The following is a 26,713-nucleotide window of genomic DNA, read 5'->3' on the forward strand; positions in this document are numbered from 1 at the left end:
AGGGAAATATCTTCAGAAAAAAACTAGAAAGAACTTGAGAAACTGTTTTCTGATGGATGCATTCATCACACAGAGTTAAACTAGTCTTTGACTGAGCAGTTTGGGAACACGGTTTTACAATCAATTGCGAAGCAATGTTAGGTAGCGCATAAAAGGATTATGGTGAACAAGAATAATTTCAGAGAAAAACTGGAAAGAATCGTTAAAAGAAACTGCCTTGTGATGTGCGCATTCATCTCACAGTTTTAAGTCTTTCTTTTGATTGAACAATTTGGAAACACTGTTTCTGTAGATTCTGTGAAGGGATATTTCAGAGTGCATTGTGGCCTATGGTGGCAAAGGAAATATCTTCAGAGAAGAACTAGACAGAAACTACCTGAGAAACTGCTTTGTGATGTGTGCATTCATCTCACAGAGTTAAACTTTTTTTTTCTTTTTGAGCACTTTGGAAACACTCTTTTTGTAGAATCTGTAAAGGGATATTTGAGAGTACACTGATGCCTATAGTGTAAAAGGAAATATCTTTGGATAAAAACTAGAAAGAAGCTTTTTGAGGAACTGCTTTTTGATGTATGCATTCATCTCAAAAAGCTAAACTTCTCTTTTGACAGAGCAGTTTGGAAACACTGCTTTTGTATAATCTGTGAAGTGATGCTAGGTAGCATAAAATAGCTTATGGTGAACAAGTAAATACCTTCAGATAAAAACTGGAAAGAAGCGTTATGGGAAACTGCTTTCTGATGTGTGCTTTCATCTCACAGAGTTCAATCCTTAATTTAATGGAACAGTTCGGAAACACTTTTTTTTTTCAGAGCACATTGAGGCCTATGTTGGAAAAGGAAATATCATCAGAGAAGAACTAGACAAGCTATCTGAGAAACAGCTTTGTGATGTGTGCCTTCATCTCGCAGAGTTAAACCTCTATTTTGATTGAGCCTTTTGGAAACTGTTTTTGTATAATATGCAAAGGTATATTTGGGAGCTCGCTGAAGCCTATGGTGAAAAAGGAAATATCTTCAGATAAAAACTAGGAAGAAGCTTTTTGAGAAACTGCTTTGTGATGTATGAGTTCAACTCACAGAGTTAAGCTTGTTTTCTGATAGAGCAGTTTGGAAACAGTGTTTTTGTAGAATCTGTGAAGGGATATTTAGGAGCACATTGAAGCCTATGTTGACATAGGAAATATCTTTGGATAAAAACTAGAAAGAAGCTTTTTGAGAAACTGTTTTGTGAATTGTGCATTTGACTCACAGAGATCAAACTTTCTTTTACTGAGCAGTTTGGAAACACTGTTTTATCAAAATCTGTGAAGCAATATCAGGTAGTGTAAAAAAGCCTATGGTGAACAAGAAGACGTCTTCAGATGAAAACTGGAAAGAAGCGTTACAAGAAACTGCTTTCTGATGTGTGACCTCATCTCACAGAGTTAAGTCCTTCTTTTGATGGAACAGTTTGGAAACTCTGTATTTGTAGAATATGTGAAGGGATATTTGGGATCAAATTTAAGCCTATGGTGAAAAAGGAAATGTCTTCAGTTAAAAATTGGAAAGCAGTGTTATAAAAACTGGTTTCTCATGGGTGCATTCATCTAACAGAGTTAAGTCCTTCTTTTGATGGAATAATTTGGAAACACTGTTTTTGTAGAATCTGCAAAGGGGTATTTGGGAGCATATTGAGGTCTATGGTGGAAAAGGAAATATCTTCTGAGAAGAGCTAGACAGAAGCTTTCTCAGAAAATACTTTGTGATGTGTGAATTCATCTCATAGAGTTAAAACTTTTTTTTGATTAAGCAGTTTGGAAACACTGTTTTTGCAGAATCTACGAAGGGATTTTTGGGAGCACATTGAAGCCTATGGTGAAAAGGGAAACATCTTCAAATAAAAACTGGAAAGAAGCTTTTTCAGAAACTGTTTTGTGATGTGTGCATTCATCTCACAGAGATAAAACTTTCTTTATTTTATCAGTTTGGAAACACTGTTTTTGTAGTAACTGCAAAAACGAATTTGGGAGCCCAAGAGGCCTAAGGTGAAAAAGGAAATAACTTAAGATGAAAACTAGAAAGAAGCTTTTTGAGAAAACAGTTTGTGATGTGTGCATTATTCTCAGAGTTAAACGTTTCTTTTGACTGAGCAGTTTGGAAACACTGTTTTTGTAGAATATGAGAAGGGATGTTTGGGAGTGCACTGAGGACTATGGTGAAGAAGAAAATATCTTCGGATAAAAACTAGAAAAAAGATATTTGAGAAACTGCTTTGTGATGTTTGCATTCAACTGACAGAATTAAAACTTTTTTTTGATTGATCTATTTGGAGACACAGTTTTTGTAGAATCTGTGGAGTGATATTTTGAAGAATCTGTGAAGGGATATTTGGGAGCACATAGAGAAGCCTATGGTGATAAAAAATATCTTTGGACATAAACTGGAAAGTTTTTTGAGAAACTTGTTTGTGATGTGTGCATTCGTTTCCCATAGTTAAACAATTCTTTTGACTGAGCAGTTTGGAAACACTGTTTTTGTGAAATCTGTGAATCAATATTTGGTAGCACAAGAAAGCCTATGATGAAAAGGGAAATATCTTTAGGCAAATATCCAGAAAGAAGCACAATGGGAAACTGCTTTCTGATGTGTGCATTCGTCTCAAAGAGTTAAATCCTTCTTTTGATGGAAGATTTCAGAAACACTGTTTATATAGAATCTATGAGGGAATATTTGGGAGTGCATTGAGGCCTGTGGTGGAAACGGAAATATCTTCAGAGAATAACAAGACAGAAGCTTTCTGAGAAACTACTTTGTGATGTATGCATTCAATTCACAGAGTTAAACCTGTTTTTTCATTGAGCAGTTTGGAAACACTGTTTTTTTAGAATCTGTGATGGGATATTTGGGAATGCATTGAAGCCTATGGTGATGAAGGAAATATCATCAGATAAAAACGAGAAAGAAGCTTTTTGAGAAACTTCTTTTTGATGTATGCATTTGTCTCACAGAGTTAAACTTTTCTTTTGATTGGGCAGTTTGGAAACACTGTTTTTTTAGAATCTGTGAAAGGATGTTAGGTATCACAAAAAGGCCAATGGTGAAGAAGGAAATATCTTCAGATAAAAACTGGAAAGAAGCATTATGAGAAAATGCTTTCTGCTATGTGCATTCATCTCACAGATTTAAATCCTTCTTTCACAAGGACAGTTAGGAAACACTGTGTTTGTAGAATCTGCAAAGGGATATTTTGAAGTGCAGTGAGGCCTAATGTGGAAAAGAAAGTATCTTCAGAGACGAATTAGACAGAAGTTATCTCAGAAACTACTTTGTGATGTATGATTTCCTCTCACAGAGTTAAACTTTTCTTTTGATTGATCAGTTTGGAAACACTGTTTTTGTAGAATCTGTGAAGCTATATTTGGGAGCACCTTCAAACCTATGGTGATAAATCAAATATCTTCGGATAAACACTAGAAAAAAGTTATTGAGAAATTGCTTTGTGATGTGAGCATTCATCTTGCAGCTTTAAACATTTCTTTTGACTGAGCAGTTTGGAAACACCTTTTTTGCAAAATCTGTGAAGTGAATTTAGGTAGTGCAGAAAAGCCTATGGAGAAAAAGAAAGTATCTTCAGATAAAAAGTGAAAAGAAACGTTATGAGAAACTGCTTTCTGATGTGTAGGATAATCTCAAAGAGTTAAACTTTTCTTTTGATTCAGCAGTTTGGAAACATGGTTTTTGTAGAATCTGTGAAGGGATATTTGGCAGCACATGGGAACATATGGTGAAAAAGGAAATATCTTTGGATAATAATGAGAAAGAAGTTTTTGAGAAACTGACTTGTGATATATACAATCATCTAACAGAGTTAAACTTTTCTTTGATTGATCAGTTTGGAGACACTATTTTTGTAGAATATGCGATGTGACATTGGAGAGTGCATGAGGCCTATGTTGAAAAAGGAAATAACTTCAGATAAAAACCAGAAAGAAGCTTTCTGAGAAACTGCTTAGTGATGTGTGCATTCTCCTCACAGAGTTAAACGTTTCTTTTATTGAGCAGTTTGGAAACACTGTTTTTGTAGAATGTGCAAAGGGATATTTGGGAGCACACTGATGCCTATGGTGAAAAAGGAAACATCTTTGGATAAAAACTAGACAGAAGGTTTTTGAGAAACTTCTTTGAGATTTGTGCATTTAGCTCACAGAGTTAAACTTTTCTATAGACTGAGCAGTTTGGAACCACTGTGTTTGTGTAATCTGTGAAGCGATGTTTGGTAGCTCAAAAACACCTATGGTGAACAAGGAAATATCTTCAGATAAAAACTGGAAAAAAACATGATAAGAAAGTGCTTTCTTATGTATGCATTCATCTCACAGAGTTATATCCTTCTTTTGATGGAACAGTTTAGAAACAATGTTTTTTATAGAATCTGCAAAGGGTTATTTAGGAGTGTACTGTGTTCTGTGGTGGAAAAGGAAATATCTTTGGAGAAGAACTAGAAAGACGCTTTTTGAGAAACTGCTTTGTGATATGTGCATTCACCTCACAGCGGTAAACTTGTTTTTGATTGAGCAGTTTCAAAACTCTGTTTTTGTAGAATCTGCAAATGGATATTTGGGAGCACATTGAGGCCTAAGGTGATAAACGAAATATCTTAGGATAAAAACTAGAAAGAAGCTTTCTAAGAAACTGATTTGGGATGTGGACTTTCATCTCACAGATTTAAACCTTTCTTTTAACTGAGCAGTTTGGAAACGCTGTTTTTGCAAAATTTGTGAAGTGATATTAGGTAGTGCAAAAAAGCCTTTGGTGAAAAAGGAAATAAATTCAAATAAAAACTGGAAAGAAGCATTAGGAGAAACTGCTTTCTGATGTGTGCATTCAGCTCACAGAGTTAAGTTCTTTTTTTGATGGAATAGTTTGGAAACGTTGTTTTTGTAGAATATATGAAGGGATATTTGGGAGCACTTTGAGGCCTCTGGTGTAAAAGGAAAAATCTTCAGAGAAGAACTAGACAGAAGCTATCTGAGAAACTGCTTTGTGATATGTGCATTCATCTAACAAAGTTAAACCATTCTTTTGATTGAGCAGTTCGGAAACACTGTTTTTGTAGAATCTGCGACAGGATATTTGGGAGAGCATGGAAGCCTATGGTGATCAAGGAAATATGTTCATATAAAAACGAGAAAGAAACATTTTGAGAAACTGCTGTGTGATGTGTGCATTCATCTCACAGATTTAAACCTTTCTTTTGATTGAGCAGTTTGGAAACACTGTTTTTACGAAATCTGCAAAGGGATATTTGGGAGCACACTGATGCCTATGGTGGAAAAGGAAATATCTTTGTATAAAAACTAGAAACTTTTTGAGAAACTGCTTTGTGATGTATGTATTCATCTCACAGAGGTAAACTTTTCTTTTGAATGAGCAGTTTGAAAACACTGGTTTTGTAGAATCTGCAAAGAGATAGTGGAGTGCATTGAGGCCTGTGGTGGAAAAGGAAATATCTTCAGAGAAGAACTAGAAAGAAGCTTTCTGAGAAACTGCTTCATGATGTGTGCATTCATCTCACAGAGCTAAAGTTTCTTTTGGCTGAGCAGTTTGGAAACACTGTTTCTGAAAAATCTGCAAAGGGATATTTGGGAGCACACTGATGCCTATTGTGGAAAATGAAATATCTTTGTACAAAAACTAGAAAGAAACTTTTTGAGAAACTGCTTTGTGATGTATGTATTCATCTCACAGAGGTAAACTTTTCTTTTGACTGAGCAGTTTGGAAACATTGTTTTTCTATAATCTGCAAAGGGATATTTGGGAGCACATTGAGGCCTGTGGTGGAAAAGGAAATATCTTCATAGAAGAACTAGACAGAAGCTTTCTGAGAAACTGCTTTGTGATGTGTGCATTCATCTCACAGAGCTAAAGCTTTCTTTTGATGGAGCAGTTTGGAAACAATGTTTTTGCAAAATCTGCAAAGGGATATTAGGGAGCACACTGAAGCCTATGGTGAAAAATGAAATATCTTTGGATAAAAACTAGAAAGAAACTTTTTGAGAAACTGCTTTGTGATGTATGTATTCTTCTCACAGAGGTAAACTTTTCTTTTGACTGAGCAGTTTGGAAACACTGTTTTTCTATAATCTGCAAAGGGATATTTGGGAGCACATTGAGGCCTATGGTGGAAAAGGAAATATCTTCAGAGAAGAACTAGACAGAAGCTTTCTGAGAAACTGCTTTGTGATGTGTGCATTCATCTCACAGAGCTAAAGCTTTCTTTTGATTGAGCAGTTTGGAAACACTGTTTTTGTAGAATCTGTGAAGGGATATTTGGGAGGTAATTGAAGCCTGTGGTGAAAAAGGAAATATCTTCAGATAAAAAGTAAAAAGAAGCTCTTTGAGAAACTGCTTTGTGATTATCAGGTGAAATTCACCCCTGATATGTCACGTAGGTTCTTTTCTATTTTCCCTAAATGTCAGCCCATCTGAGAAATAAAGGGACGGAGTGCAAGAGAGAAATTTGAAAGCTTGGTGTCCGGGGTAGACATCACATTGCTGCAGGTTCTGTGATGGGCCACAAGCCACAAAGCCAGCAAGTTTTTACTAGTGATTTTCAAAAGGGGAAGGAGTATACGGTAGGGTGTGGATCACAGAGATCTCAGGCTTCACAAAGTAATAAGATATCACAAGGTAAAAGGAGGTGGGGCAAGATTACAGGACACAGGACTGGAGTGAATTTAAAATTGCTAATGAAGTTTCTGGCTTGCATTGTCATTGATATCATCTTATCATAAACAGGGTTTGAGAGCAGAAAACTGGTCTGACCAAAATTTATTAGGCGGGAATTTTCTCCTCCTAATAAGCCTGGGAGAGCTACAGGAGACTGGGGCTCATTTCATCTCTACAGCTGTGACCATAAAAGACAGCCACCCCCAAAGCAGCCATTTCAGATGCCTACCCTCAGGGATGCATTATCTTTCTCTGGGATGTTTCTTGCTGAGAAAAAGAATTCAGAGATACTTCTCCCATTTGCTTTGAAAGAAGAGAAATATGGCTCTGTTCCACCAGGCTCACCAGGAGTCTGAGTTTAAGGTTATCTATCTTCTTCCCTGAACATTGCTGCCACCCTGTTCTTTTTCCAAGGTACCCAGATTTCATAGTGTTCAAACACACATGCTCTACACACAATTTGTGCAGCTAATGCAATCATCACAGGATCCTGAGGTGACATATATCCTCCTCACTCTCTAGTGAGATGAACCCAGTACCACAGATGGAAATGCAGAAATCACCTGTCTTCTGCGTCGCTCATGCTGGGAGCTGTAGACCAGAGCTGTTCCTATTTGGCCATCTTGGCTCCTCCCCTGAACCTTTCTTTTGATTCAGCTGTTTGGAAACACTCTTTTTGTAGATTCCACAAGTGGATATTTGGAGCGCTTTGAGGCCTATTGTGGAAAAGGAAATATCTTCACATAAAAACTACATGGAACATCCTGAGAAACTGCTTTGTGATGTGTGCATTCATCTCACAGAGTTGAAAATTTCTTTTCATTGAGCAGTTTTGAAACACTTTTTCTGTAGAATCTGCAAGGGGATATTTGGTGCCATTTTAGGCCTATTGTGGATAAGGAAACATCTTCACATAAAAACTGCACAGATGCATTCTGAGAAACTTCTTTGTGATGTGTGCATTAATGTCTTAGAGTTGAAGCTTTCTTTTCATTGAGCAGTTTGGAAACACTCTTTTTGAAGGATCTGCAAGTGGATATTTGGAACGCTTTGAGGCCTATGGTGGAAAAGGAAATATCTTCACATAAAAACTACACTGAAGCATTCTGAGAAACTTCTTTGTGTCGAGTGCATTCAACTCACAGAGTTGGAACTATATTTTGATAGAGCAGTTTTGAAACTCTCTTTTTGTAGAATCTGTACGTGGGTATGTGGAGTTGTTTGTGGCTAATGGTGGAAAAGGAAATATCTTCTCATAAAAACTACACAGAAGCTTTCTGAGAAACTTCTTTGTGATGTGTGCATTCATCTCACAGGGTTGAAACTTTCTTTTGATTGAGCTGTTTTGAAACACTCTTTTTGTAGAATATGCAGGTGGATATTTGGAGCACTTTGAGGCATATTGTGGAAAAGGAAATATCTTCACATACAAAGTACGTGGAAGTATTCTGAGAAACTTCTTTGTGATGTGTGCCTTCATCTCACAGAGTTGAACATTTCTCTGAGCTGTTTGGAAACACTCTTTTTGAAGAATGTGCAAGTGGACATTTGGATCACTTTGAGGCCTATGGTGGAAAAGGAAATATCTTAAAATAAAAATTACAAAGAAGTGTTCTGTGAAACTTCTTTATGATGTGTGCATTAAACTCACAGTGTTGAACCTATCTTTTGAGTGAGCAGTTTGGAAACACTCTTTTTGTAGAATCTGCAAGTGGATATTTGGAGCGCTTTGGGGTCTATTGTGGAAAAGGAAATATCTTCACATAAAAACTGCACAGAAGCATTCTGAGAAACTGCTTTGTGATGTGTGCATTAATCTCACAGAGTTGAACATTTCCTTTGATGGAGCAGTTTTGAAACACTCTTTTTGTAGAATCTGTAAGGGGATATTTGGAGTGCTTTTAGGCCTAATGTGTATAAGGAAATATCTTCACATAAAAGATACACACATGCTTTTTGAGAAACTTCTTTGTGATGTGTGCATTAGTCTCACAGAGTTGAGGCTTTCTTTTGATTGAGCAGTTTGGAAACACTCTTTTTGTGGGATCTGCAAGTGGATATTTGGAACACTTTGAGGCCTATGATGGAAAAGGAAATATCTTCACATAAAAACTACACAGAAGCATTCTGAGAAACTACTTTGTGATGTGTGCATTCAACTCACAGAGTTGAACCTATCTTTTGATGGAGCAGTTTTGAAACTCTCTTTTTGTAGAATCTGCAAGTGGGTATTTGGAGCCTTTCTGGCCAAAGGTGGAAAAGGAAATATGTTCACATAAAAACTACACAGAAGCCCTCTGAGAAACTTCTTTGTGATGTGTGAATTCATCTGCCAGAGTTGACCCTTTCTGTTGAATGAGCTGTTATGAACCACTTTTTTTTTGTAGAATATGCAGGTGGATATTTGGAACATTTTGAGGCCTAAGGTGGTAAAGGAAATATATACAAATAAAAACTATACAGAAGAATTCTGAGAATCTTCTTTTTGATGTGTGCATTCAATTCACAGGGTTGAACCTATCTTTTGATGGAGCAGTTTTGAAACTCACTTTTTGTACAATCTGCAAGTGAATATTTGCAGCACTTTGAGGCCTATGGTGGAAAGAGAAATATCTTCACATAAAAACTACACAGAAGCATTCTGTGAAACTTCTTTGTGATGTGTGCATTCATCTGACAGAGTTGAACTTTTCTTTTGATTGAGCAGTTTGGAAGCACTCTTTTTGTAGAATCTGCAAGTGGATATTTGGAGTCCTTTGAGGCCTATTGTGGAAAAAAAATCTTCACATAAAATCTACACGGAAGCATTCTGAGAAACTGCTTTGTGATGTATGCATTCATCTCAGAGAGTTGAGCATTATTTGGATTTAGCAGTTTTGAAACACTCCTTTTGTAGTATCTGCAAGTGGATATTTGGATCTCTTTGAGGACTAAGTTTGAAATGGAAATATCTCCACATAAAAACCACACAGAAGCATTATGAGAAAATAATTTGCAATGTGTGCATTCATCTAACAGAGTTGAACATTTCTTTTGATTGAGCAGTTTTGAAACACTCTTTTAGTAGCAACTGCAAGTGGATATTTGGAGTGCTTTGAGGACTATTGTGGAAAAGGAAATATCTTCACATAAAAACTACACAGAAGCATCCTGAGAAAGAACTTTGCAATGTGTGCATTCATCTCAAAGTGTTGAAACATTCTTTTGATTGAGCAGTTTGGAAAAACTCTTTTTGTAGGATCTGCATATGGATATTTGGAACGTTTTGAGGCATAAGGTGGAAAAGGAAATATCTTCAAATAAAAACTACACAGAAGAATTCCGAGAAACTTCTTTGTGATATGTGCGTTCATCTCACAGAGTTGAACCCTTGTTTTGATTGAGCAGTTTTGAAACAATCTCTATGTAGAATCTGCAGGTGTATATTTGGACTGCTCTGAGGCCTGTTGTGGAAAAGGAAGTATCTTCACATAAAAACTACATAGAAATATTCTAAGAAACTTCTTTGTGTTGTGTGCACTCATCTCACAGAGTTCAGTCTTTCTTTTGATTGAGCTGTTTTGAAACACTCTTGTTGTAGAATGTACAGGTGGAAATTTGGATCGCTCTGAGGTGTATTGTGGAAAAGGAAATATCTTCACATAAAAACTACATAGAAACATTTTGAGAAACTTCTTTTCAATGTGTGCATTCATCACACAGAGTTGAATTTCTTTTGATTGAGCAGTTTGGAAACACTCTTTTTGAAGGATATGCAAGTGGATATTTGGATCACTTTGAGGCCTATGGTGGAAAAGGAAATAACTTCACATAAAATCTACACAGAAGCGTTCTGAGAAACTACTTTGTGGTGTGTGCACTCATCTCACAGAGTTGAACCTTTCTTTTGATTGAGCACTTTTGAACACCCTTTTTGTAGAATCTGCAAGTGGATATTTAGAATTCTTTGTGGACTATTGTGGAAAAGGAAATATCTTCACTTAAAAACTACACAGAATACTGAGAAACTTATTTGTGATGTGTGCATTCATCTCAAAGTATTGAAGATTTCTTTTGATTGAGCAGTTTGGAAAATTCTTTTTGAAGAATCTGAAAGTGGATATCTGGAGCCATTTGAGGCCTAAGGTGGAAAAGGAAATATCTTCACACAACCACTACACAGAAGCATTCTGGGAAAGTTCTTTCTGAAGTGTGCATTCATCTCACAGGTTTGAACGTTTCTTTTGATTGTGTAGTTTTGAAACACTCTTTTCTAGAATCTGCAGGTGGATTTTCTGACTGCTTTGAGGCTTATTGTAGAAAAGGAAATATCTTCATATAAAGACTATACAGAAGCATTCTGATAAACTTCTTTGTGATGTGTGTGTTCATCTCACATTGTTTAACCTTTCTTTTGATTGAGCAGTTTTGAAACACGTTTTTGCAGATTCTGCAAGTGGATATTTGGAGTGCATTGAGGCCTATTGTGGAAAAGGAAATATTTTCACACAAAAACTACACAGAAGCATTCAGAGAAACTTCTTTGTGATGAGTGCATTCAACTCACAGAGTTGAAAATCTCTTTTGATTGAGGAATTTTGAAACTCTCTTTTTGTCGAATCTGCAAGTGGATATTTGGAGCACTTTGAGGTCTATGGTTGAAAAGGAAATATCTTCACATAAAAACTACACAGAAGAATTCTAATGAACTTCTATGTGATGTGTTCATTCAACTCACAGAGTTCAACCTATCTGTTGATAGAGCTGTTTACGAACTCTCTTTTTGTAGAATATAAAATGGATATTTTGAGTGCTTTGCAGCCTATAGTGGAAAAGGAAATATCTTCACATAAAAATTACACAGAAACATTCTGAGAAACATCTTCGTGATGTATGCATTGATCTCACAGAGTTGAACATTTCCTTTAATTCAGCAGTTTTGAAACACTCTTTTTGTAGAATCTACATGTGGATATTTGGAGAGCTGTGAGGGCTATTGAGAAAAGGAAATATCTTCACATAAAAACTACACAGAAGGATTCTGAGAAACCTCTTTGCGATGTGTGCATTCATCTCACAGAGGTGAACATTTCTTTTGATAGAGTAACTTTGAAACATTCTTTTTTGAATAATCTGCAAGTAGATATTTGGTGCGCTTTGAGCCCTATTGTGGAAAAGGAAATATCTTCACACAAAAACTACAAAGAAGCATTCTTAGAAAGTAATTGGTGATGCGTGCATTCAACTCACAGAGGTGAAACTATCCTTTGATTGAGCAGTTTTGAATCTCACTTTTTGGAATATCTGCAAGTGGATGTTTGGAGCCCTTGGTGGCCTATGATGGAAAAGGAAATATCTTCACACAAAAACTACACAGAAGTATTCTGATAAATTTCTTTGTGATGTGTGCATTATTCTAACAGAGTTGAAACTTTCTTTGAGCAGTTTTGAGACAATCTTTTTGTAGAATCTGCAGGTGGATATTTGGAGTGCTTTGAGGTCTATTGTGGAAAAGGAAATATCTTCACATAAAAGCTACACAGAAGCATTCTGAGAAACTCCTTTGTGAAGTGTACTTTCACTTCAGAGAGCTGAAGCTTTCTTTTGATTGTGCAGTTTTGAAACTCTCTTTTTGTAGAATCAGCAAGTGGATATTTGGAGCCATTTGCAGCCTACGGTGGAAAACAAAATATCTCCACATAAAAACTACACAAAAAAATACAGAGAAAGTTCTTTGTGATGTGTGTATTCATCTAACAGAGTTGAAAGTTTCTTTTGATTGAGCAGTTTGGAAACACTCTTTTTGTAGAATCTGCAAGTGGATATTTGGAGCGCTTTGAGGCATATTTTGGAAAAGGAAATATCTTCACATAAAAACTACCCAGAAGCTTTCTGAGAGCCATCTTTGTGATGTGTGCATTCATTTCACAGAATTGAACCGTTCTTTTGATTGAGCAGTTTTGAAACACTCTTTTTGTAGAATCTGCAAGTGGATATTTGGAGCACCTTGCGGCCTATGGTGCAAAAGGAAATATTTTCACATAAAAACTACACAGAAGTATTCTGAGAAACTTCTCTGTGATGTGTGCATTCATCTCAGAGAGTTGATACTTTCTTTTGATTTAGCAGTTTGAAACACTCTTTTTGTAGAATTTGCAAGTGGATATTTGGAGCGCTTTGTGGCCTATTGTGGAAAGGGAAAAATTTTCACATAAAAAGTGCACAGAAGCATTCTGAGGAACTTCTTTTTGATCTGTGCATTCATCTGAAAGAGTTGAACCTTTCTTTTGATTGAGCAGTTTTGAAACACTCTTTTTGTAGAATCTGCATGGGGATATATGGAGCACTTTGACCTACTGTGGAAAAGGAAATATCTTCACATAAAAACTACACAGAAGCATTCTGAGAAACATCTTTGGGATGTGTACATTCAACTCACAGAGTTAAACCTACCTTTTGATAGAGCAGAAACTCTCTTTTTGTAGAATCTGCAAGTGGACTTTTGGAGCCTTTGGGGCCAATGGTGGAAAAGGAAATATCTTCACATAAAAACTACACAAAATCATTCTGAGAAACTTCTTTGCAAAGTGTGCATTCATCTCAGGGAATTGAATGTTTCTTTTGATTGAGCAGTTTGTAAACACTCTTTTTGTAGAATCTACAAATGTATATTTGGAGCGCTTTGAGGCCTATTGTGGAAAGGGAAATATCTTCACATAAAAACTACACAGAATTATTCTGAGAAGCTTCTTTGTGATGTGTGCATTCATCTCACAGAGTTGAAAGTTTCCTTTGATTGAGCAGTTTGGAAACACTGTTTTCGTAGAACCTGCAAGTGGATATTTGGAGGGCCTTGAGGCGTATTGTGGAAAAGGAAATATCTTCACCTAAAAACTACACAGAAGCATTCTGAGAAACTTCTTTTTGATGTGTGCATTCATATCAGAGAGGTGAAACTTTCTTTGATTGAGCAGTTTTGAAACTCTCTTTTTGTAGAATCTGCAAGTGGATATTTGGAACGCTTTGAGGCATATTGTAAAAGGAAATATCTTCACATAAAAACAACAAAAAATCATTCTGGGAGGGGAGGAGCCAAGATGGCCGAATAGTAACAGCTCTGGTCTACAGCTCCCAGCGTGAGTGATGCAGAAGATGGGTGATTTCTGCATTTCCATCTGAGGTAATGGGTTCATATCACTAGGGAGTGCCAGACAGTGGGTGCAGGACAGTGGGTGCACACACTGTGCGCAAGCCGAAGCAGGGCGAGGCATTGCCTCACTTGGGAAGTGCAAGGGGTCAGGGAGTTCCCTTTCTGAGTCAAAGAAAGGGGTGACAGAAGAACCTGGAAAATCGGGTCACTCCCACCTGAATACTGGGCTTTTCTGACCGGTTTAAAAAATGGCACATCAGGAGATTATATCCTGCACCTGGCTTGGAGGGTCCTATGCCCACGGAGTTTTGTTAATTGCTAGCACAGCAGTCTGAGATCAAACTGCAAGGTGGCAGTGAGGCTGGGGGAGGGGCGCCCACCATTGCCCAGGCTTGCTTAGGTAAACAAAGCAGCTGGGAAGCTCGAACTGGGTGGAGCCCTCCACAGCTCAAGGAGGCCTGCCTGTCTCTGTAGGCTCCACCTCTGGGGACAGGGAACAGACAAACAAAAAGACAGCAGTAACCTCGGCAGACTTAAATGTCCCTGTCTGACAGCTTTGAAGAGAGCAGTGGTTCTCCCAACACACAGCTGAAGATATGAGAATGGGCAGACTGCCTCCTCAAGTGGGTCCCTGACCGCTGACACCCAAGCAGCCTAACTGGGAGGCACTGCCCAGCAGGGGCACACTGACACCTCACATGGCAGGGTATTCCAGCAGACCTGAAGCTGAGGGTCCTGTCTGTTAAAAGGAAAACTAACAAACAGAAAGGACATCCACACCAAAACCCATCTGTACATCACCGTCATCAAAGACCAAAAGTAGATAAAACCACAAAGATGGGGAAAAAACAGAACAGAAAAACTGGAAACTCTAAAAAGCAGAGCGCCTCTCCTCCTCCAAAGGAATGCAGTTCCTCACCAGCAACGGAACAAAGCTGGATGGAGAATGACTTTGACGAGTTGAGAGAAGAAGGCTTCAGATGATCAAATTACTCTGAGCTATGGGAGGACATTCAAACCAAAGGCAAAGAAGTTGAAAACTTTGAAAAAAATTTAGAAGAATGTATAACTAGAATAACCAATACAGAGGAGTGCTTAAAGGAGCAGATGGAGCTGAAAACCAAGGCTTGAGAACTATGTGAAGAATGCAGAAGCCTCAGGAGCTGATGTGATCAACTGCAAGAAGGGTATCAGCAATGAAAGATGAAATGAATGAAATGAAGCGAGAAGGGAAGTTTAGAGAAAAAAGAATAAAAAGAAATGAGCAAAGCCTCCAAGAAATATGCGACTATGTGAAAAGACCAAATCTACGTCTGATTGGTGTACCTGAAAGTGACGGGGAGGATGGAACCAAGTTGGAAAACACTCTGCAGGATATTATCCAGGAGAACTTCTCCAATCTAGCAAGGCAGGCCAACGTTCAGATTAAGGAAATACAGAGAACGACACAAAGATACTCCTCGAGAAGAGCAACTCCAAGACATATAACTGTCAGATTCACCAAAGTTGAAATGAAGGAAAAAATGTTAAGGGCAGCCAGAGAGAAAGGTGGGGCTACCCTCAAAGGGAAGCCCATCAGACTAACAGTGGATCTCTGGGCAGAAACCCTACAAGCCAGAAGAGAGTGGGGGCCAATATTCAACATTCTTAAAGAAAAGAATTTTCAACCCAGAATTTCATATCCAGCCAAACGAAGCTTCGTGAGTGAAGGAGAAATAAAATAATTTACAGACAAGCAAATGCTGAGAGATTTTGTCACCACCAGGCCTGCCATAAAAGAGCTCCTGAAGGAAGCGCTAAACATGGAAAGGAACAACTGGTACCAGCCACTGCAAAATCATGCCAAAATGTAAAGACCATCGAGACTAGGAAGAAACTGCATCAACTAACGAGCAAAATCACCAACTAACATCATAATGACAGGATCAAATTCACACATAACAATATTAACTTTAAATGTAAATGGACTAAATGCTCCAATTAAAAGACACAGACTGGCAAATTGGATAAAGAGTCAAGACCCATCAGAGTGCTGTATTCAGGAAACCCATCTCACGTGCAGAGACACACATAGGCTCAAAATAAAAGGATGGAGGAAGATCTACCAAGCAAATGGAAAACAAAAAAAGGCAGGGGTTGCAATCCTAGTCTCTGATAAAACAGACTTTAAACCAACAAAGATCAAAAGAGACAAAGAAGGCCATTACATAATGGTAAAGGGATCAATTCAAAAAGAAGAGCTAACTATCCTAAATGTATATGCACCCAATACAGGAGCACCCAGATTCATAAAGCAAGTCCTGAGTGACCTACAAAGAGACTTAGACTCCCACACCTAAATAATGGGAGACTTTAACACCCCACTGTCAACATTAGACAGATCAACGAGACAGAAAGTCAACAAGGATACCCAGGAATTGAACTCAGCTCTGCACCAAGCAGACCTAATAGACATCTATGGAAAAGAACAGAAATTATAACAAATTATCTCTCAGACCACAGTGCAAACAAACTAGAACTCAGGATTAAGAATATCACTCAAAACCGCTCAACTACATGGAAACTGAACAACCTGCTCCTGAATGACTACTGGGTACATAACGAAATGAAGGCAGAAATAAAGATGTTCTTTGAAGCCAACGAGAACAAAGACACAACATACCAGAATATCTGGGACACATTCAAAGCAGTGTGTAGAGGAAAATTTATAGCACTAAATGCCCACAAGAAAAAGCAGGAAAGATCCAAAATTGACACCCGAACACCACAATTAAAAGAACTAGAAAAGGAAGAGCAAGCACATTCAAAAGCTAGCAGAAGGCAAGAAATAACTAAAATCAGAGCAGAACTGAAGGAAATAGAGACACAAAAAACCCTTCAAAAAATTAACGAATCCAGGAGCTGTTTTTTTGAAAGGATCAACAAAATTGATAGACCGCTAGCAAGACTAATAAAGAAAAAAAGAGGGAAGAATCAAATAGATGCAATAAAAAATGATAAAGGGGATATGACCACCGATCCCACAGAAATACAAACTACCATCAGAGAATACTACAAACACCTCTACACAAACAAACTAGAAAATCTAGAAGAAATGGATAAATTCCTCGACACATACACTCTCCCAAGACTAAACCAGGAAGAAGTTGAATCTCTGAATAGACCAATAACAGGATCTGAAATTGTGGCAATAATCAATAGCTTACCAACCAAGAAGAGTCCAGGACCAGATGTATTCACAGCCGAATTCTACCAGAGGTACAAGGAGGAGCTGGTACCATTCCTTCCGAAACTATTCCAATCAATAGAAAAAGAGGGAATCCTCCCTAACTCATTTTATGAGGCCAGCATCATTCTGATACCAAAGCCGGGCAGAGACGCCACCAAAAAAGAGAATTTTAGACCAATATCCTTCATGAACATTGATGCAAAAATCCTCAATAAAATACTGGCAAAACGAATCCAGCAGCATATCAAAAAGCTTATCCACCATGATCAAGTGGGCTTCATCCTTGGGATGCAAGGCTGGTTCAATATACTCAAATCAAAAAATGTAATCCAGCAATTACACAGAGCCAAAGACAAAAACCACATGATTATCTCAATAGATGCAGAAAAAGCCTTTGACAAAATTGAACAACCCTTCATGCTAAAAACTCTCAACAAATTAGGTATTGATGGGACATATTTCAAAATAATAAGAGCTATCTATGACAAAACCACAGCCAATATCATACTGAATGGGCCAAAACTGGAAGCATTCCCTTTGAAAACTGGCACAAGACAGGGATGCCTTCTCTCACCACTCCTATTCAACATAGTGTTGGAAGTTCTGGCCAGGGCAATTAGGCAGAAGAAGGAAATAAAGGGTATTCAATTAGGAAAAGAAGAAGTCAAATTGTCCCTGTTTGCAGACGACATGATTGTATATCTAGAAAACCCCATTGACTCAGCCCAAAATCTCCTTAAGCTGATAAGCAACTTCAGCAAAGTCTCAGGATACAAAATCAATGTACAAAAATCACAAGCTTTCTTATACACCAACAACAGACAAACAGAGAGCCAAATCATGAGTGAACTCCCATTCACAATTGCTTCAAAGAGAATAAAATACCTAGGAATTCAAGTTACAAGGGATGTGAAGGACCTCTTCAAGGAGAACTACAAACCGCTGCTCAATGAAATGAAAGAGGATACAAACAAATGGAAGAACATTCCATGCTCACGGATAGGAGGAATCAATATCGTGAAAATGGCCATACTGATCAAGGTAATTTATAGATTCAATGCCATCCCCATCAAGCTACCAATGCCTTTCTTCACAGAATTGGAAAAAACTACTTTAAAGTTCATATGGAACCAAAAAAGAGCCCACATAGCCACGTCAATCCTAAGGCAAAAGAACAAAGCTGGAGGCATCACACTACCTGACTTCAAACTATACTACAAGGCTACAGTAACCAAAACAGCATGGTACTGGTACCAAAACACAGATATAGATCAATGGAACAGAACAGAACCCTCAGAAATAATGCCGCATATCTACAACTATCTGATCTTTGACAAACCTGAGAAAAACAAGCAATGGGGAAAGGATTCCCTGTTTAATAAATGGTGCTGGGAAAACTGGCTAGCCATATGTAGAAAGCTGAAACTGGATCCCTTCCTTACATCTTATACAAAAATCAATTCAAGATGGATTAAAGACTTAAACGTTAGACCTAAAACCATAAAAACCCTAGAAGAAAACCTAGGCGATACCATTCAGGACATAGGCATGGGCAAGGACTTCATGTCTAAAACACCAAAAACAATGGCAACAAAAGACAAAATTGACAAATGGGATCTAATTAAACTAAAGAGCTTCTGCACAGCAAAAAAAAAACTACCATCAGAGTGAACAGGCACCCTACAAAATGGGAGAAAATTTTCGCAACCTACTCATCTGAAAAAGGGCTAATATCCAGAATCTACAATGAACTCAAACAAATTTACAAGAAAAAAACAAACAACCCCATCCAAAAGTGGGCAAAGAACATGAACAGACACTTCTCAAAAGAAGACATTTATGCAGCCAAAAAACACATGAAAAAATGCTCATCATCACTGGCCATCAGAGAAATGCAAATCAATCCACAATGAGATACCATCTCACACCAGTTAGAATGGCAATCATTAAAAAGTCAGGAAAGAACAGGTGCTGGAGAGGATGTGGAGAAATAGGAACACTTTTACACTGTTGGTGGGACTGTCAACTAGTTCAACCATTGTGGAAGTCAGTGTGGCGATTCCTCAGGGATCTAGAACTAGAAATACCACGTGTCCCAGCCATCCCATTACTGGATATGTACTGAAAGGACTATAAATCATGCTGCTATAGAGACACATGCACACGTATGTTTACTGAGGCATTATTCACAATAGGAAAGACTTGGAACCAACCCAAATGTCCAACAATGATAGACTGGATTGAGAAAATGTGGCCCATATACACCATGGAATACTATGCAGCCATAAAAATGATGAGTTCATGTCCTTTGTAGGGACATGGATGAAATTGGAAATCATCATTCTCAGTAAACTATCGCAAGAACAAAAAACCAAACACCGCATATTCTCACTCATAGGTGGGAATTGAACAATGAGATCACATGGACACAGGAAGGTTACTATCACACTCTGGGGACTGTTGTGGGGTGGGGGCGGGGGGAGGGGTAGCATTGGGAGATATACCTAATGCTAGATGACGAGTTAGTGGTTGCAGCGCACCAGCATGACACACATGTATACATATGTAACTAACTTGCACAATGTGCACATGTACCCTAAAACTTAAAGTATAATAAAAAAAAAATCATTCTGAGGAACTTCTTTGTGATGTGTGCATTCATATCAGAGAATTGAACGTTTCTTTTGATTGAGCAGTTTGGAAATACTCTTTTTGTCCAAACTACAGGTGGATATTTGGATCGCTTTGAGGCCTATTGTGGAAAGGGAAATATCTTCACATAAAAACTACACAGAAGATTTCTGAGAAACTTATTTGCTATGTGTGCATTCAACTCTCAGTGTTGAACCTATCTTTGAATGAGCAGTTTTGAAACTCCCTTTTTGGAAAATCTGCAAATCGATATTTGGACCCATTTGCAGCTTATGGTGGAAAAGGAAATATCTTCAATTAAAAACTACACCGAAGCATTCTTAGAAAATTCTTTGTGGTGTGTGCATTCATGTCACAGAGTTGAAACTTTCTTTTGATAGAGCAGTTTTGAAACACTCTTTTTGTAGAAACTACAGGTGGATATTTGGAGCGCTTTGAGGCCTATTGTGGAAAGGGAAATATCTTCACATAAAAACTACACAGAAGCATTCTGAGAACGTTCTTTGTGATGTGTGCCTTCAACTCTCAGTGTTGAACCTATCTTTGATTGAGCAGTTTTGAAACTCCCTTTCTGGAAAATCTGCAAATGGATACTTGGAGCCGTTTGCAGCCTATGGTGGAAAAGGAAATATATTCAAATAAAAACTACACAGAAGCATTCTGAGAAAATTCTTTGTGGTGTGTGCATTCATGTCACAGAGTTGAAACTTTCTTTTGATTGAGCAGTTTTGAAATATTCTTTTTGTAGAGTCTGCATGTGGATATTTGGAGTGCTTTGAGGCCAATGGTGGAAAAGGAAATATCTTCACAGAAAAAATACGCAGAATAATTCTGAGAAATTACTTAGTGATGTGTGCATACATCTCACAGAGTTGAAACCTTCTTTTGATTGAGCAGTTTTGAAACACTCTTTTTATTGAATCTGCAAGTGGATATTTGGAGTGCTTTGAGGCCTATGGTGGAAAAGGAAATATCTTCACATAAAAACTACTCAAAAACATTCTGAGAAACTTCTTTGTGATATGTGCATTTATCTCACAGAGTTGAGGATTTCTTTTGATTGAGCGGTTTGGAAACTTCTTTTTGAAGAATCTGCAAGTGGATATTTGGAGCGCTTTGAGTCCTATCGTGGAAAAGGTAATATCTTCACATAAAAAGTACATAGAAGCATTCTGTGAAACTTGTTTTTGATGTGTGCATTGCACTCACGTAGGTGAACCTATCTTTTCATTGAGCAGTTTTGAAACACTCTTTTTGTGGATTCCACAAGTGGATGTTTGGAGCGTTTTGAAGGTTAAGCTGGAAAAGGAACTATCTTCACATAAAAACTATACAGAAGCTTTCTGAGAAACTTCTTTGTGATGTGTGCAATCAACTCACAGATTTAAACCCATCTTCTGATTGAGCAGTTTTGAAAGTCTCTTTTTGTAGAATCTGCAAGTGGATATTTGGAACCGTTTGTGGCCTATGGGGGAAAAGGAAATATCTTCACATAAAAACTACACAGAAGCATTTTGAAAAACTTCTTTGTGATGTGTGCATTCATCTCACATAGTTGAACCTTATTTTTGATTGAACAGTTTTGAAACTTCTTTTTGTTGAATCTGCAAGTGGATATTTGGAGCTATTTGTGGCCTATGGTTGAAAAGGATATATGTTCACATAAAAGCTATAGAGAAGAATTCTGAGAAACTTCTTTGTGACGTGTGCAGTCAACTCACAGAGTTGAACCTATCTTTTGAAAGAGCAGTTTGAAACACTCTTTTTGTAGAATCTGCAAGTGGATATTTGGAGCCTTTTGCATCCTATAGTGGAAAAGGAAATATTTTCACATAGAAACTACACAGAATCATTCTGAGAAACTTCTTTGTGATGTGTGCATTCATCTCACAGAGCTGAACCTTTCTTTTGATTGAGCAGTTTTGAAACACTCTTTTTGTAGATTCTGTAAGTAGATATTTGGAGTGCTTTGAAGCCTATTGTGGAAAAGGAAATATCTTCACATAAACACTACAAAGAGGCATGCTGAGAAACTTCTTTGCGATGTGAGCATTCATCTCACAGAGGTGATCCTTTCTTTTGTTTGAGCAGTGGGGAAACTCTCTTTTTTTAGAATCTGCAAGTGGATATTTGGAGCGCTTTGAGGCCTATTCAGGAAAAGGGAACATCTTCACACAAAAACTACAAAGAAACATTCTGAGAAACTACTTTGTGATGTGTGCATTCATCTCACAGAGTTGAACTTTTCTTTTGATTGAGCAGTTTTGAAAATCTCTTTTTATGGAATCTGCAAGTGGATATTTGGAGTGCTTTGAGGCGAATTGTGGAAAAGGAAATATGTTCACATAAACACTACACAGAAGCATTCTGAGAAACGTCTTCGTGACATGGGCCTTCATCTCAGAGAGTTGAACCTTTCTTTTGATTGAGCAGTTTTGAAACTCTCTTTTTGTAGAGTCTACAAGTGGATATTTGGAGACATTTGTGGCCTATGGTGGAAAAGGAAATATCTTCACATAACAACTACACAGAAGCATTCTGGGAAACTTCATTTTGATGTGTGCAATCAACTCACAGATTTGAAATTATCTTTTAATTGAGCAGTTTGAAACTCTCTTTTTGTAGAATCTGCAAGTGGATATGTGGAGCCATTTGCAGTCTATGGTGGAAAAGGAAATATCTTCACATAGAAACTACACAGAAGCATTGTGAGAAACTACTTTGTGTTGTGTGTAATCTACTCACAGAGTTGAACATATCTTTTGATTGAGCAGCTTTGAAACTCTCTTTTTGTAGAATCTGTAAGTGGATATTTGGAGCCTTTTGTGGCCTATGGTGGAAAAGGAAATATCTACAAATTAAAACTACACAGAAGCATTCTGAGAAACTTCTTTGTGATGTGAGCATTCATCTCACAGAGTTGAATCTTTCTTTTGATTGAGCAGTTTGAAAATGCTCTTTTTGTAGAATCTGCAAGTGGATATTTGGAGTGCCTTGAGGCCTATTGTGGAAAAGGGAAACATCTTCACATAAAAACTACACAGAAGTAATCTGATAAACTTCTTTGTGATGTGTGCATTCATCTCACAGAGTTGAACCTTTATTTTTATTGAGCAGTTTGGAAGAACTCTTTTTGTACATTCTGCAAGTAGATATTCTTTGTGATGTGTGCATTCAACTCACAGAGTTGAAAGTATCTTTTGATTGAGTAGTTTTGAAACAGTCTTTTTGTAGAATCTGCAAGTGGATATTTGGAGTGCTTTGAGGCCTGTGGTGGAAAACGAAATATCTTCTCATCAAAAATACACAGAAGCATATTGAGAAAATTCTTGTGATGTGTGCATTCATCTCACAGAGTTGAATCTTTCTTTTGATTGAGCAATTTTGAAACACTCGTTTTGTAGAATCTGCAAGTGGATATTTGGAGCGCCTTGAGGCCTGTTGTGGAAAAGGGAAACATCTTCACATAAAAACTACACAGAAGTAATCTGAGAAACTTCTTTGTGATGTGTGCATTCATCTCACAGAGTTGAATCTTTATTTTGATTGAGCAGTTTGGAAGAACTTTTTTGTACATTCTGCAAGTGGATATTTGGAGTGCTTTGAGGCCTATTCTGGAAAAGGAAATATCTTCACACAAAAACTACACAGAAGCATTCTGAGAAACTTCTCTGTGATGTGTGCATTCAACTCACAGAGTTGAAAGTGTCTTTTGATTGAGTAGTTTTGAAACAGTCTTTTTGTAGAATCTGCAAGTGGATATTTGGAGTGCTTTGAGGCCTATGGTGGAAAAGGAAATATCTTCTCATCAAAAATACACAGAAGCGTACTGAGAAAATTCTTGTGATGTGTGCATTCATCTCACAGAGTTGAATCTTTCTTAAGATTGAGCAATTTTGAAACACTCGTTTTGCAGAATCTGCAAGTGGATATTTGGAGCGCTTTGAGGCCTATTTTGGAAAAGGAAATGTCTTCACATAGAAACTACACAGATGCATTCTGAGAAACTTCTTTGCAAAGTGTGCGTTCATCTCAGAGAGTTGAAGCTTTCTTTTGATTGAGTCGTTCTGAAACTCTCTGTATGTCGAATCTGCAAGTGGATATGTGGAGCCTTTTGTGGGCTATGGTGCAAATGAAAATATCTTCACATGAAAGCTACAAAGAAGCATTGTGACAAAATTCTTTGTGATATGTGTATTCACCTCACAGAGTTGAACACTTCTTTTGATTGAGCAGTTTGAAAACACTCTTTTGTAGAATCTGCAAGTTGATATTTAGAGAGCTTTGAGGCCTATTTTGGAAAACGAATTATCTTCACATAAAAACTACACAGAAGAATTCTGAGAAACTTCTTTGTGATGTGTGCATTCATCTCACAGAGTTGAACCTTCCTTTTGATTGAGCAGTTTTGAAACACTCTTTTTGTAGAATCTTCAACTGTATATTTGGAGAGCTTTGAAGCCTCTGGTGGAAAAGGAAATATCTTACAATAAAAACAACACAGAAGCATTCTGATGAACTTCTTTGTGATGTCTTCATTCATCTCACAGAGTTGAAAATTTCTTTTGATTCAGTAGTTTTGAAACACTCCTTTTGTAGAATCTGCAAGTGGATATTTGGAGTTCTTTGGGGCCTATTGTGGAAAACGAAATATCTTCACATAAAAACTATACAGAAGCATTCTGAGAAACTTCTTTGTGATGAGTGTATTCAACTCACCGAGTTGAACCTATCTTTTGATGGAACAGTTCTGCACCTCTCTTTTTGTAGAATCTGAAAGTGGATATTTTGAGCCCTTTGCGGCATATGGTGGAAAAGGAAATATCTACTCATAAAAACTACACAAAAGAAATCTGAGAAATTTCTTTGGGTTGTTTGCATTCATCTCACAGAGTTGAAACTTTCTTTTGTTTGAGAAGTTTGTAAACACTAATTTGTAGAATCTGAAAGTGGATATTTGGAGTGCTTTGGGGCCTACTGTGGAAAAGGAAATATCTTCACCTAAAAACTACATAGACGCATTCTGAGAAACTTCTTTGTGATGTGTGGATTCATCTTACTGAGTTGATCCATTCTTTTGATTAAGCAGTTTGAAAACACTCTTTTTGTAGAATCTGCAAATGGATATTTTCGGTTCTTTGATGTCTATGGTGGAAAAGGAAATATCTTCACATAAAAAATACACAGAAGCATTCTGGGAAACTTCATTGTGATGTGTGCATTCAACTAACAGAGTTGAACGTATCTTTTGATTGAGAAGTTTTGAAACTCACTTTTTATACAATCTGCAATTGGATATTTGGAGACCTTTGCGGCCTATGTTGGAAAAGGAAATATCTTCACATAAAAACTGCACAGAAGCTTTCTGAGAAACTTCTTTGTGATGTGTGCATTCAACTCACAGACTTGTACCTATCTTTTGATTGAGCAATTTTGAATCTCTCTCTTTGTAGAATCTGCAAGTGGATATTTGGAGCCCCTTGCGGTCTACGGTGGAAAAGGAAATATCTTCATATAAAAAATACACAGAAGCATTCTGAGAAAATTCTTTGTGATCAGTGCATTCTTCTCACAGAGTTGAGCTTTTCTTTCTATTGAGTATTTTGAAAAACTCTTTTTGTACAGTCAGCAAGTGGATAATTGTAGTGCTTTGAGGTCTATTGTGGAAAAGGAAATATCTTCACATAAAGACTACACAGAAACAGTCTGAGAAACTTCTTTGTGATTTGTGTTTTCATGTCATAGAGTTGAAACTTTCTTTTGATTGAGCAGTTTGGAAACACTCTTTTTGTATAATCTGCAAGTGAATGTTTGGAGTGCATTGAGGCCTATGGTGTAAAAGGAAATATCTTCACATAAAAATTACACAGAAGCTATCTGAGAAATTTCTTTGTGATGTGTGTATTCATCTCACAGAGTTGAATTTTTTTTTTCTTTTATTATTATACTTTAAGTTTTAGGGTACATGTGCACACTGTGGAGATTAGTTACATATGTATACATGTGCCATGCTCGTGCACTGCACCCACTAACTCGTCATCTAGCATTAGGTATATCTTCCAATACTATCCCTCCCCCCTACCCCCACCCCACAACAGTCCCCAGAGTGTGATGTTCCCCTTCCTGTGTCCATGTGATCTCATTGTTCAATTCTCACCTATGAGTGAGAATATGCGGTGTTTGGTTTCTTGTTCTTGCGATAGTTTACTGAGAATGATGATTTCCAATTTCATCTATGTCCCTACAAAGGACATGAACTCATCACTTTTTATGGCTGCATAGTATTCCATGGTGTATATGGGCCACATTTTCTTAATCCAGTCTATCATTGTTGGACATTTGGGTTGGTTCCAAGTCTTTGCTATTGTGAATAGTGCTGCAATAAACATACGTGTGCATGTGTCTTTATAGCAGCATGATTTATAGTCTTTTGGGTATATACCCAGTAATGGGATGGCTGGGTCAAATGGTATTTCTAGTTCTAGATCCCTGAGGAATCGCCACACTGACTTCCACAATGGTTGAACTAGTTTACAGTCCCACCAACAGTGTAAAAGTGTTTCTATTTCTCCACATCCTCTCCAGCACCTGTTGTTTCCTGACTTTTTAATGATCACCATTCTAACTGGTGTGAGATGGTATCTCATTGTGGTTTTGATTTGCATTTCTCTGATGGCCAGTGATGATGAGCATTTTTTCATGTGTTTTTTGGCTGCATAAATGTCTTCTTTTGAGAAGTGTCTATTCATGTCCTTTGCCCACTTTTGGATGGGGTTGTTTGTTTTTTTCTTGTAAATCTGTTTGAGTTCATTGTAGATTCTGGATATTAGCCCTTTGTCCGATGAGTAGGTTGCAAAAATTTTCTCCCATGTTGTAGGTTGCCTGTTCACTCTGATGGTAGTTTCTTTTACTCTACAGAAGCTCTTTAGTTTAATTAGATCCCATTTGTCAATTTTGTCTTTTGTTGCCATTGCTTTTGGTGTTTTAGACATG

General features: G+C 37.5%; 2 annotated features.

The window, feature by feature from the left end:
* Nucleotides 21,323-21,824: an enhancer, noted in NCBI's record as "NANOG hESC enhancer chr19:24584392-24584893 (GRCh37/hg19 assembly coordinates)". NCBI's record gives its function as "activates a minimal SCP1, AML or CMV promoter by ChIP-STARR-seq in naive H9 embryonic stem cells {active_cell/tissue: H9 hESC(naive)}" and the evidence as "EXISTENCE:reporter gene assay evidence [ECO:0000049][PMID:30033119]".
* Nucleotides 22,348-22,849: an enhancer, noted in NCBI's record as "NANOG hESC enhancer chr19:24585417-24585918 (GRCh37/hg19 assembly coordinates)". NCBI's record gives its function as "activates a minimal SCP1, AML or CMV promoter by ChIP-STARR-seq in naive H9 embryonic stem cells {active_cell/tissue: H9 hESC(naive)}" and the evidence as "EXISTENCE:reporter gene assay evidence [ECO:0000049][PMID:30033119]".

The sequence above is a fragment of the Homo sapiens genome, chromosome 19 (genome assembly GCF_000001405.40).
Source record: "Homo sapiens chromosome 19, GRCh38.p14 Primary Assembly".
NCBI lineage: Eukaryota > Metazoa > Chordata > Mammalia > Primates > Hominidae > Homo > Homo sapiens.